The 13,555-nt window shown below is 38.7% G+C and overlaps 1 protein-coding gene and 1 long non-coding RNA gene across 28 annotated transcripts in view; one reads left to right on the top strand and one right to left on the bottom strand.

Moving 5' to 3' along the window:
* The window catches only part of PALLD (palladin, cytoskeletal associated protein), a 431,390-nt gene that overhangs the window by 50,810 nt on the left and 367,025 nt on the right, over positions 1-13,555 (bottom strand). The gene's annotated exons all lie outside the window — the stretch shown is intronic.
* Positions 9-13,555, top strand: part of LOC102723331 (uncharacterized) — a 33,246-nt gene continuing 19,699 nt past the window's right edge. Inside the window, exon 1 of the long non-coding RNA XR_007058358.1 lies at positions 9-13,260. This is a non-coding gene — a long non-coding RNA (uncharacterized LOC102723331). The remainder of the gene's footprint in view (positions 13,261-13,555) is intronic.

Below are 13,555 nucleotides of genomic sequence, written 5' to 3'. Positions count from 1 at the left end.
CACTTAGGCCAGCTGCAGAGAACACCCAGGGAACGGGCACACGTTAGCAGGCCCAAGTGTGGGGCCAGCAGTTCATTCTGGACCAAGCGCTAAGTCAGTGAAGTATGCTCGCCCATTTCACTCTCATTTAAGTTTCACATAAGGTGATCCCAACCAGTTTACAAATCCTGATGGAAATTTTGTCTGACTTCCAGGAGCCATAATTTGTTTTTAACGGATCAAGAAATATTAAGAGAAAAACGTTTCGACATCAATTCTCAGTCCTCTCATTCGTAGCCAATTTTTGGTAAAAGAATTCTATCAAATGAGAAAGTTAAAAGCAAAAAAACACTTGGTTGAAGTTATATTTGGCAGATTTACGTTAGTCCAATTTGCCTATTTCAGTGCTGTCAACTCTACATTCAATAAATACCACAGGTGGATTTTTTAAAAAATTTACTTTAATCTCTACATTTGTCCCCTAAGAAAGTCTTTATGCAAAATTTTAGTAGTAAACTGAATTGCGAATTTCTTACACAAACCTTAATACACATTGATATTGTATGTTATTTCAAACACATGTAAACAAGTGACTTCTATAACAGGTAGGTGTTCAATAAACAATAGCAAAAATTTTGTAATGATGTATATTTAATTCCCCAAATATTTACCATTGAGAAGAGATAGTTCAAATTTTTATTTCTGAAATAAGAGTAAGCAGCTAGCAATGATCTAATATCTCACTCTTTTACTCAAAAACTTTGCTGTACATCCAGGATGTTTTCCTTTATTCACATGAGGTAAACATAGGGACCAATAGCTGTCAAAAGAAACTTCAACAGAAGGCGGCACTGTAACAAGCAGATAAAACAAGTTATCTATGAATAGACAATAAACGTTTTAAAACTAAAAATCAGACCCCAAAACTTTCTTATCCATAGGCAAAAATCAAGCCTTCAGAGACTCAGCAATACAAAGAATTGAAGTGGCCAATAAAAAGTGAAAAAATATCTAGGTCTTTTCTCAAGTATCATGAGCTGTGGGAACATCAGCAAGTTCTAAACTCTGTCCTGTGTCTTCTGTTCCCTTCTATAATTATCCAGTAAAGTGATTACACTTAAGTCCATGAGAAGACAAAGACACACTTTCTTGGGAACTGAAAGGTGTAATGAGGAGATGGTTCTATGTTCTTAATATGTACAGAGCATCAAATACTTGAACAGCAAAGAACTTTGTGGGGTCCTATTGAACTTGAGTGTTTTAAAAGTAGGCATGTCACTGCTGGGATTCACCACTGCCCTGAAGTTCCAGATGTCTGTGTGGTTTGGGTAGACTGTCCAGCACATGTGCTCTGGCATTCATGCATTTAGAACTGGCCCAGGAATAGAACTCATAAAAACCACCCACTAGCTCTAAAATCCATTATCCAGCACTCTCCATTCCGAGTCCCCAAATGCTTCATCTCCCTGCCTTTGCTGTCTCTCTTACATTTCCTCAATAGGGCAGCATGCATCCCAGTCCCAGGATGTTTATCAACACTCTTCCACACCCTTCAGCTGACCTCTGCATCTGGATTAGAAGCCATCTGTGTGGCTCTCCTCAAAGGCGCTGCTCCCCTACTCTGTCCCCACCTGGGCTCACAATGGCCAAAGCCACAGCTGTGTTTTAAGTATTTAAGGCTTGGCCTGGCATCAGCAAATTGCTGTGTGTGGTGGCTCTGCTGAAGTAGCTACAGACATCATATCACGCTCTGTACCTGATGTGAGGATTCCCTGGCCCCAGAATTAGGGAGTGACTCTTGAGAGCCAGTATTCACAGAAACCAGGGCAGGAAAGCCCAGACCAGGACTATATTGGTTCTCAACTTCTCCATGGGTCAGCTTATTCATTCGGGCATTAAAAAGAACCATCATGTTTGCTAACCCAAGTGGGCTTAAAGCTGTGGAAGCGCTAACTTTAGTATGAAGTGACAGTTTAAGAAATTATTAACGTAGCATTTCACAAGAAATGAATGGGCATTCTAGTGATTTGGCTGCTAGTATATACTGTAGTGAAGAACTTTACTAGCGTTTTGACTTCACCATTTTTAAGTGGTTCAGTGAGGCATCAAGAATATAATATGCAGGGACTGGAGGGGTGGGGAAAAGGAGCGCAAAAACATTTATTTCGAATTTTAAAGTGTCTGACTTTATTTCTGTGCAAATGATAATCTTTTAAATACTTGAGTTAAATGGATTTCATATCTGGACTGTGATGTGATGAAATGCACAATTTTACCATTTTCTTCTTCCTCATTAAGCTATTTTTAGAAAAGTTGATTTTCACAGAGATAAAAAGGCCGAAAGAATGAAAGGTACCAGAAAGGCAAGGTTGCCTATAGCTTTTGGAAATTACTTAGAAGTTATTTGTCATAAGAAATTCATTACTTCTTTAGTTTCTCCGTTTTTTTTTCTGCTGTCTTTTCTCTGAAAACATGAAACTGAACTTTTTGGAAATACTATGTATTTCCAACTAGTATGTATTTCCATAGTATTTTGGAAATACTATGTATTTCCAAATAGTATGTATTTCCATAGTATTTTGGAAATACTATGTATTTCCAAATAGTATGACAAGTTAAGCGTTCTAGATAGCCCTAGTTGCAAATGTACTTTGAGTGTCATGTGTTTAAATCTTTGGTCTTACACAAGTAATCCATCAAATTTCTCCCAGCTTCTTTTTTCCCCGCTCTCCTCCATACCCCTAATTCAAAAAATCTAAGCGATTCCCCACTCTTGCCCATCCTTCAATTCTAAAAGTTTTGATACTGAAGGAAAGGGGACCGTCTAGACCTGGCACAGTCCACTTACACATGGGAAGACTGGTTTTAAGTAACACTCAAGGCCACAGAGCAAGTTACCTGCAGAGCCAGGTTAGAACCTGTGTCTGTCCCTGCTCTTTACACTACTTCAGGCATGTAACACATAAAAGGACCCTGACCTTCAATGTGACTTAAAAAAAAAAATCTGTGGCTATATTTTCCTTCTGAGGACTTTATTCACTTTTATACCTTACTGCAGCTGTAACATCCAGGGCCTTTAGGATCTGAATCATCAGTTAAGGTTTTAAATACATATTTAAGAATATATTTAAGAATATCTGACTTCAAACTTGATTTCATGCTAACTCAATAGATTCCCCTCATACATTATAGAAAATAACTCCTCTACCCCAGTGGTTTGCAGAAAGCTTTCAACAAGAATAATTTTACAGATGGTTGGATGGGGCAAAGATTTAGATTTGACAGAGATAAGGAGAGGTGTATGACCTAATTTATTTTCTAATTCAGTCATCTCTCCTACCACTAGATTAAAGCAAGTTCAGAAAAAGTTAACCACACTAAAAACACTGTCCCAAGTGGCAGAATGGTACATGACAAAAAGGGCTAGAGTCACAGTTAGATCGAACTGGCTTGGAACCCCAGCTCAGCCGGCTACTAGCTTGTGGGGTCATTGTGAGAATTAAATGGGCACAGTGCCTGGTTCAGAGTATGAGCTCAATAAATTATCTTTCATAGCAGAATAAAATCAAATCAATTCTGGTTACTTTACAAACCAGAACTTTTAAAACAAGAACAATGTTTTACTTATTGCAGGGGATGTTTCTCTTCACCTATGTCCATTGCAAGTGGCTGGCAGGGGAACAGCAGTGGCAGGTGGGCAAATGGGGAACTGGAGATGGGGCTGTCATGAGACCAGCTAAGATGGCTGGTTTTAGCACTGCTCCTCCGCCTTCTCCTCATCACGAAGCCATAGGGCACTTATCACGTGCCTAGCACTGGAGACACACACCAACCCTAGGAGGCAGGGATGGTTATCCCCATTTAAAAAATTCACCATCAGTTAGTGAGGTCAAGTAATGTGTCCAAGGGCAGAACCTGGATGTGAAGTGCTGGCTGGCTCAGAAAGCCTGGTGCCACATCATTCTCTATAGAGTGCTCAGTAAACAAAAAACGTTTGTTAAAATGTTGGCTATTATTACTACATACCACTTTTTCTCTGGGAAACTGCAACCCAAGTTTAAAATAAATGATGTGAAAGTAAACTTCTGGAAAACAACTTTTATGTAAATTGGAAATTCCTGATATGTCTCTCTGGAGCAATATCTGGATTGCAAGTAATTTATCCCCTGCTCATAATAAAGATGGGGTATTCGTAATTGTCTAGAAAAACTCTTGAGATCACAAAGCTGAAAAACATTTGTGATCTATGAATAAATATGCTGTTGGTTTATATGCTTTCTTTAATATTTGATTGTATGACAGAAGCCATTGTATGAAGAGTTGCAAGACTGCACCCTCTGAACCATAAGCTCCTCTGGTCCTGATATTTATAAGCACTTTAAAAGTAAGGAGGGTAACTTTCGGCATCCTCACAGCACCTGGCCAAACACTAAACATGGTGGACTCATCACTGTCAATGACAACAATGATATAAATTTCTTACTGCAATTCTGTACCCCATTGGGTTCATCAGGCATATTCAGTAGGACATTCCTATACTAGGAGGGTCCCATATTGGACTGGGAAATCTTAAGAATTTTCAAATGAAGGTAGGTAAGTGAATTAGGGGTAAGCTGCTAGGTGTTTCCACAATATATTCCCATCTGGCTAAGATTAGCTCAGTATCATATGCATGAGACTTCAATGTATCAATTCTGGGAATGTATAAAATAGAAAATAAAACTCCTACAAGGGCTTCCCACTCAGGTAGTACCGATTCAGTTCCATCTATAACTTTATTATAGTAATGCTTCAATTGTCTTTTAAAATTCTATTACTCAGAGCTCAATTGATATCTTCATATCACAGAAGCTAGGTCCACTGCATGAAGGTCAATATCTAACAACTTGATTTGTTTAGCACTAACTTATGATTGCCCCTTAGGAAAAGGTATATAAATCCCAATCTTAAGAATGATCATTTATTTACACAGTAAGGATTAATAAAAGACAAATGAGAATGTATTGCACTGGGCTTATGGGAGGTTGTGAGTGCAAAAATAATTCAAATACATTCCCCTAAGGTTGGGGGAGAAGGCAGGGATAAAAATCTGGATTTTCTACAAAGTACCATAAACAAAAAAATGCTAGAATTAAAATTGATTACTGCTTGGGATTATGTATAAGTTTAAAATGTATTGCAAAAGGACATAGGTTTCTTTACAAAGCCCTATTTTTTGACCTTTAATGCATTCTGAACCTTTTGTAAATTGTGCTGACTTTCCAAACAAAGCCAGAACTGAACACAATTATGGAGGAGGGCTCAAGGGAGAAGTGACCTGAGTGAAATCAGCACATGACTTGAGTCTCTTTTAGAGAGACTTTTCCTTTGTACTTAGAATAAGAGCCATATTTGGCTCTGCCACAGAAAAACAGTAGCTTTGTATGTCTTAATGCATAAAGTTGATCTCTATTTGAAGTCATTCCACGTACCGATAGAGAGAGAGAGAAGGAGCAACTGATGACCAATTCCTAATCCTCCTGGGAACTTCTCTGGAATATCAAAGGATGGCTGAGTCTCTCATGTAACATGAAGAATAGGAATGAGAGGTAGGGGAGATGGTGCTCTTCAAGGGTCAGTAGCAATGTGAACTGTTTCTCATAAGTTGACTCCTGCCGCTGGCTTCCAGATGTTGAGATGTCTCATCTAGGAGGTCTGTGGAGATCCAACTCTCTGTGGGGTAAATGGTCACTTTGGCTCTGAGAGGGCTGCAGGATGTGGTCCAAAGAATTTATAGCCCCACCAGAAGAGCAGGATTTGTAGCCTGACATAAATTGCATATGATAAGGGACAGGCTTTGCCAGTGCCTGCAGTTGTGATGTGCCTGAGGAATCTAACACAGAATGCTGGCGCTTCAGTCCCAGCCTCTTTTTGGGGGAGGAATCCGAAGTCAGCTTCTAAAAGAGTTGACTCTGCATCACAGTTAAATGCCCAAAATGATTTTCATTTCTACTGATGCGAAGGCCAGTGAAAACAGCAGGAAGATATTAGTTGATTCTTATAAAAACTATGCTAATTTAGTGGACATTAAAATGAATTAATACCGACTGTTCCTAATAGAAAATGTTTGGTTTCAATTCTTAACATAGACAAAGTACATTTTTGAAGAAAAAATCTGTTTTTCAACCTTTTTTTTTTCAATGCTTGAAGCAAAATCAGTGATCTCATTTCTAATTGAAACACCAAGGAAAAGCTCCCTGTGAGACAGATGTTGAGAAACTTTAAGGTCTTAAGTATAAAATTTCTCTGAGATTTTGAAGAATTAGGGAAGAAAGGACAGACAGATATTTCACTTTCTGTCTTCCAATGAAATGACGAATTTGGCATATTTTAAGGTTTCATATGGTTAATGTTTCCCCAACTTTTCATTTTCATTCATCACACAATGGCTGGTGCCATCCCTTGTGTCAGTCCCATCATAGCTTATGCTTGCTGGGTTGAATACATCCAAAACAGTGGTATGCAGTCAGTATTTATAAGAGTCGATTACTACTAAGGGCAGAGTGTCATCTCTTTCCAAACAAATAACCATTATCTACTCCCCAAATGGCTTTACAAAAAGTAGCAATCCTCCCACTTCGCTGAGCCCTCCATTTTCAGTATCTTCCTCTTTACTCACAGGGAAGCCACTCAATAAATATCTGTTGAAGTCAAATCCCTAGATTTCTATACAATGTAAAACTCCCTGTTCCATCAAGCTCTATGGCATTCAGCAACACACAATTGCATTTTCCTAAGAGAGTATTCTTAGAAATAAAGCCACTATCATGCAGGTTATTTACAAGTAAAAACATGGAGTCAGCCCAGTAGAGAAACGTTCAAATAGTGTGGCTCCTGCTCTGCCACGTTCTGTTTATGACTTTGGATATTTTATTTATCCTTTCTGGGGTAGTTTTTCAACTTTAAGGTCCTAATAAACTTTTAGATTTTATGACCTGTCCTCTTTAGCCCTGTAAGATTTAAATATTATAAAGAACCTGATTTCAAAGACACTGGTAAACTTGGACAACTAAACAAGTCCAAGTATGGTACTTATTTGTGTGTGTGCATATATTAACCTTATGCATATGCTGTTTTCACACCTATTTAAACTGTTTTTGAAAAACGTATATATCAGTTTTTGGAAAACAGAAGAAGATTTTAAAGGCATTCGAGAGGCAGATAAAAACAATTCCATGGTAAATCTTACAAAAGGAAGAATATTCTGTGAATAATCTGTTCTGTGAATATTCTGTCAACTAACTAGCTAACGTCAATTGCATTTTTTTCTTAAGACAGATATACCTATAGATAAATTCTACCCAGATCAAGACAAAAATAGCTTTTAGGTTTTGTGTGTCTCAAAATAGTTTCTATGGGGCTAGAGTTGGATGTGGTTCTGCTATAATGCTTTCCCTTAAAGGAAACATGGAAACTATTTCAGTGGTAAGTGGCCAAGGTTCTGTTAATAACCCTTTCCCCTCTTTCTGCCACTACTCTTTTGGATGTTTTGGCTTTGACATTTCATTCAAATATGAAGATAGGGTTGTGCTATGCTCAGCAGTCCCATGGCTTTTCTCTGCCTTCATTCTTGGTATCTCTGCAGCCTCTGACAGTGGGCTCACCCACTCCATCTTTCTTGAAGCACTCTTCTCCCTTGACATCACTAACAACTCTCCTTGTTCTCTTACTTCTGGGACTGTGCCTTACTTCCTTCACTGGTTCTCCATCTCTCTAAATATGGGTACCTTACCAAGATCTAAACTTTACACTCCTCTTTGCACAAGGAGTCAGTCAGCTGCATCACTCTCACTCCCTGATCTCTCTAACCCAGCCCTCAGTCCTGAATTCCACTATCCACTTCCATGTAACATAAATGTGCTACTTCACTTCAAACTTATGTCTAGACAGAGCTCCTCTCACCCTGATCTAACTTGTCTCCCTAAAATAATATCTGATATTTAAGATACCCATAATTTGGCCTCAAACAGTCCTAACAATCTTATCTCCAACTAATGCTGCTGTATCTCTACCTTTTCATTCTTCTAAGTTTGTTACTCTTATTGTTCCCCAAACCCATTTTGAGTTTTCCTTCCTGTTGGCCTCTTCTCATGCACTGCTCTCTTTTGGAGGGCCACCCCCACCAACTTCTCTCCATCCACTGTCTTCATCCTTCTGTGCCCATTTCAATGCCCATTTCTTCTTGAAGCTCTCCCTAGTAACATCTAGCAGTTCTTACTCCCTCCTCCATACTACTCCAGCCCACAAGGCTGGCATGGCACTGTCAGTTTGGCAGTGGCATTATCATCTCACACACCAGCCCAGATCGCCCAGAGCCAGATGTGTTCTATCTTCTTGATTATTACAGTGTTTTGCACATAGATGTCACTTACTACCTGTCAAAAGATTGCCAGGCATCCTTTTGTGTGGAATACAGGAAAGGGAAACGCATCTTCTAATAAAGGAGATATATATGTATCAGAGCTCTTATAAGTAACAGTACTTATATATTTCTGGCTTGTTAGTATCCAAAATGTGAAACTCCCAAACCCGAATGAGAACGTTTGTGAACCTGGTAATGCAGCTCCTAATCTGGCATCTGTGAGGCGCTCCATCATGTTCCAGGCAGTGGCAGCCTGTACCAGTGCCCATTTTCCATTTGATTTGGTTATCAGTCAAAAACGCAATAAGTTTATGTTTACCTTGAAGAGAAGTGCCTTGGGGATATTTTCAGTACTTGGTGAGAACTTCAGTCATCTCTAGGCAGTTCTTTTCTTTGATAGGACCCATTCTTCCCATCCCTGCACTGTTCTACAGCCACTTTTTCAAAACATAGACTGTATCCTGAGATAACAAAGTTGGTCCCTATACAGAGAGAGGAAACAGTTCCCTTGTGTGTCCATTGTGTAGTGTAGCAAGTCATAAAAGACCGGACAGAGTGTTTCTAACAAGGCCGCATTGAGTGCCTGTGTTGAGGCTAGAAGCTAAAGCACTGATGTCTGCCTGGAACATCACACTGATGTCTGTATTCATTTTTCAAGTGTTGTGAAGTACTGCCAGGAATCGCTTATGGCTGATACTAAGTTAAAGAATGTGTAGGTGGAGTTCATGCTTTATTTCTGGAAGGAGAATGAGGCCAATGGTTGAATGTGTGGCAGTAAGCATTCTTACAAGCAAGTAATGACTCACTAGTAGGTGGAGAATTGAATGAGTTTCTTCTTAAAGTCAATTTCCTGAAACTCCAAGTGTGGCAGACATCTGTTTTTATTCTCTACCATTCTTCTTTCATCTGGTAATAGCACTCCTCCCTCCCTTTACAGATACGCTTCTACCCTATTCCTTGTGGGTCTGCCAGTCACAATCCTCTTGCCCTTGGTTGCAGGGTGAGCATGTGATCCAGGACTAGTCAACTGGTATATGGCTTCAGCAAATTATCCAAGGATAAGTATATAATCCAGGTCAGGCCAGGCCAAGCAGGGCCTTTCCCTGGGACTTTTCGTACTGAAGATGGAAGGGAAATGTGTCTAGAAGCATAGAATCACCTAGAGTTCCTGGCCATCATGGAAGGGTCTACAAAAAGGAAGCCAGTACATAAAAAGCAGCCAATTCCTTATATAAAAGAAAAAGGGAGAGACGCAGTTAAAATTGGAATACTATTTTAGCCGCTGGATCCAGATAACCCTCAGACCAGTTTTATCTCAGAATTTTTTTTTTCTTTTTTTTTTTTTCTCTTCACTTAAATTAGTTCAAATGGTCTCTTAACACTTTTTAGAAAGTGGCCTTGGAAACCAACAAGTCCAATATCCTTATTTTATGATATGTAGATGGAGACACAGGGAGATCAAGAAATTGCTGTTATCAGCTGGTTGGTACCAAAGGCCCAACAAGAACATCTTGCTGGTACGAACAATATAAAAATTAATCTAATAGCACTATCGGCAGTTGATGAATCAATAAATGGATGAATTCATATATTGTTCATAAACTTGTGAAAGAAACCACCAGAAGGGCTAAAAACAAATAGTCTAAAGTGTTCACCTCTGGAAAGTAAGACTAGAATGAGGTGGAGGGGGGACATCTTTTATTTTTGCATTTTATACTCTTCTATACTATTTGACTGTTTTTAACTATGTGCATATAAAAAGTATAGTGGTTAAAAAGACTCTTAAAACATAAAACTCCATAAGTTTGTAACTTAAAAGGAGGCCTTAGACAGTAACAAAATATCCTGGAGGCCTGAGAAGGGTATCCATTCATCCATTTCCTGTGTTTAAAGCCACCAGGGGAGGCCTTTTCCAAATAATTTCATCAAGCATGACTATTGCTACTACTACTGCCAGCACCAACAGCGTCACCACATCTAGTGATGAGAGCTAACTGCTATAGAGCACTTACTATGTACCAAACACCATTTTAAGCACTTTTCCCTCTAAACTCATTTAATTTTTACAAAAACCCGAGGAGAGAGGCCACTTTTATTATCTCCATTTTACAGATGAAGAAATTGAGGCACAAAGATATATAGTAAGTTGTCCAAGATTATGCAGCTGGAAAGAAGTGGAGACGGGATTTAAACTGAGGAGCTCTGGCTCATGACCATGACGTTACCATGTCTCTAACCAAAGCACCACGACTTATCTTATATTTACCATGTGCAATGCGACTTCCTCAGACACAGAGGACCTTTCTGATTTGGGCTCCACTCAAGACTATGGCTCTAAGTCTGCCCCTCCTATGCCCTATTTCTTTGTTATTGAGATACAGATATTGCAATGGCACCCAAAACAGCTATAGAGACAGCTGGGCTATGTCCTGAACACATTCCATGCATATAATGTTAGGTAGTTATGTCTCATATGCTAGACTTAAAAACATTTCTTGGAAAAACTATAAGAATGTACAAAGCAACCTGGAGGAGCTGACTTTGAAACTAAGAAATTAAATTTGCTTCCAGAATTTCTTACTTCAGTGTAAGTACCATCAACTAGCGTTCATTATATTGAGAAACTAATGAATGGTTGGTCTCTACTAAACAAACATCATGTGTTTACAGCTAAATATTGTATATCCAAAATGTGAACAGGAAGATGAAACCAATTGATAAAGGTTCTTACTTCACATTTTCCAAGTATAGTATTAATTCAAATTTCTGAGAAAAATCAAGAGACATATATCACATAAGGGCAATAAATACTACCATAGAATTTCATGGTATGGAAGTTCCTACATACTTATGGTTCTGTCCTTCACTCTCTTTTTTGAACACGTTTGTGGTAGAAAAAAATAAATACAAAAAGAATCATTTCCAAAATAATTGGATTTGAATTCTTAAAAATAGTTTGGTATTTACTTATGTGTTTGTTCATGAATGACACAGGGTCTTGCTCTGTCACCCAGGCTGGAGTAAAGTGGTGTCATCTTGGCTCACTGCAGCCTCAAACTCCTGGGCTCAACTGATCCTTCTGCCTCAGCCTCATGAGCAGCTGGAACTACTGGTGTGTGCCACCACACCCAGTGGAATTTTTTTTTTTTTTTTAGTAGAGACAGGGTCTTACTATGTTGCCCAGGCTCAAGCAGTCCTCCCACCTTGGCCTCCCCAAGTGCTGGGATTACAGGTGTGAGCCACCACACATGGCCTAAATAGCTTTGTTTTTAAATCACCGACAGCCCTTTTTTAGCATCTGCTGCCACTGGGCTACTTAGTACTTTCCCGGGTAGAAGTGACTGTGCCACCAATTTTCTGTGTGGCCTTCACTAAATCATTCTCGGTCTTTCTTTCATATCTTTGCAGTATAGTAGGATTATTTTTAAATAGTCCCCTTTAAATATTTTTAAAATGTGCCCATGCTAATAAATTCATTCTTTAGTCTTTCAAGATTGTACATTTGAACATCTGAATATCACTAATATTACTCATCTGTTATGCTGTTCCATCTCTTGAGATACTGTATCACTAAATGTGATACAATTTAGAAACATTATATCATATGGTGAACAACACTATAAAGACGACTTTTCAAATTTCTATTAACATAGGCCTATAACTGAAGAACTAAACATTTTTGAATAAATAATGTTGCCAATAACATTTTCTACATATTTTGGTCTTGCAATCAATGTGAGGAATGCACAGTTGGATCTGGATACTCAGAGCAATTTATTTCCTCTTACAAGTCTACCATTGATAGTTTAAATGCTAATGGCCAAGATATACAAGCCAAAGGGTCCGTGGTGTGAATGCAGGGCTTGCCTGATCACCAGACTCCCTTCCCAACCTCTCCTCTGAAGAAGGAGAAAGTTCTTGAAAAAGCTCAAAAATGCGTTTTGGCAAGCACAAGAGATGCAGCCTAGCAGCATGAATTAAGAGACTTGTGACCGTGGAAAAGAACTGTAAATTTTAAATGGCTTTGGCCCTTCTTAGCTTTTGACCAGCTGACCTTGACATTCCTTAGAGGCCAAAGGATAAGATGCAGTGAAGACAGTGCTGCCTAGCCATTTCCCCTCAGGGGGCAGCACCAGTCCTTCCAGCAGTGGATGAAGTCTATCCAGTGTGTCTTGGGGAGAACTGTAATAAATGAGGCTCCCTCCCTGAGAAATGACTAAAACCACGAAAATAAATTCTTAGATGAAACAGTTCAATTATCTAATGTAATTACTCCTAAGGAAAAAATGAGAGAAATTTATCATAGCTACATGAAGTTTCCAATGTGGTTATATATGACTGTGTATAGTCAACAGTTATTCATCTGGCGTTCTGTCAAACAGAGTTTTCTATAATATGGTATCTGTGACTGTTTCCAATACAATAAAAATGCTGCAAAATCTTGAAATGCTTTTCAAAAGAAGAATACTTTATAGTATAGTGTGTACAGCTGTAGTATTGAGCTTATTTTGCTGTACTTTATTAATCTTTTCCAAAACATGTAAATAATGAAGTTTGTTGCACACCACATCTGGATTTCATGATTATACTGTAAGACTTATATAGTAGATGGCCCTTCATTTAGGGAAGTAGTATATACACCAGAATATGCCTTTTCTTTTTAAGATTTAAACAACGGAAAAAGCCACTGAAGTATGTATAGTATCTGTGCGCCGAGATACACAGGAAAGCATGGAACATGTGGATGGAAGGAACCGGGATCATCTCATCCAGCTGAGTAATAAGTACGTTTGGTGCAGTGCCACACAGGAGGCCACCAACAGAGCCCAGAGTAGTAACTAGGTTGCTTCACTCTTAGCCTCTCAAGTGATGACACCAAGGTGAGAACTTCTTTCACTAAAAGGCTTAATCTTTTAAATAACTGAACCAGAAAGTCGTTTCTAACAAGAATACAGATAAACATTACAAAGAACAAAGAAAAGATATGTTCAAAATCTGTCAGGTTCCAACAAGGGTTACTTTTTCCCTGAAGAGAGAAGATGAACCATTGCCTAGAAGTAATGTGTAGCTGACTGTCCCGTGGTTCTATGTCTGAGTAACACAGTCTCATCTCTCATGTGTATGTGTGCATATATACATGTATATGACTATAGTGGTATCAGCAATCATGTATAT

This window comes from Homo sapiens, chromosome 4 (genome assembly GCF_000001405.40).
Source record: "Homo sapiens chromosome 4, GRCh38.p14 Primary Assembly".
Taxonomy (NCBI): domain Eukaryota; kingdom Metazoa; phylum Chordata; class Mammalia; order Primates; family Hominidae; genus Homo; species Homo sapiens.
The sequence above is the reverse complement of the archived record's forward strand: the minus strand, read 5'-3'. Positions and strand labels throughout refer to the sequence as shown.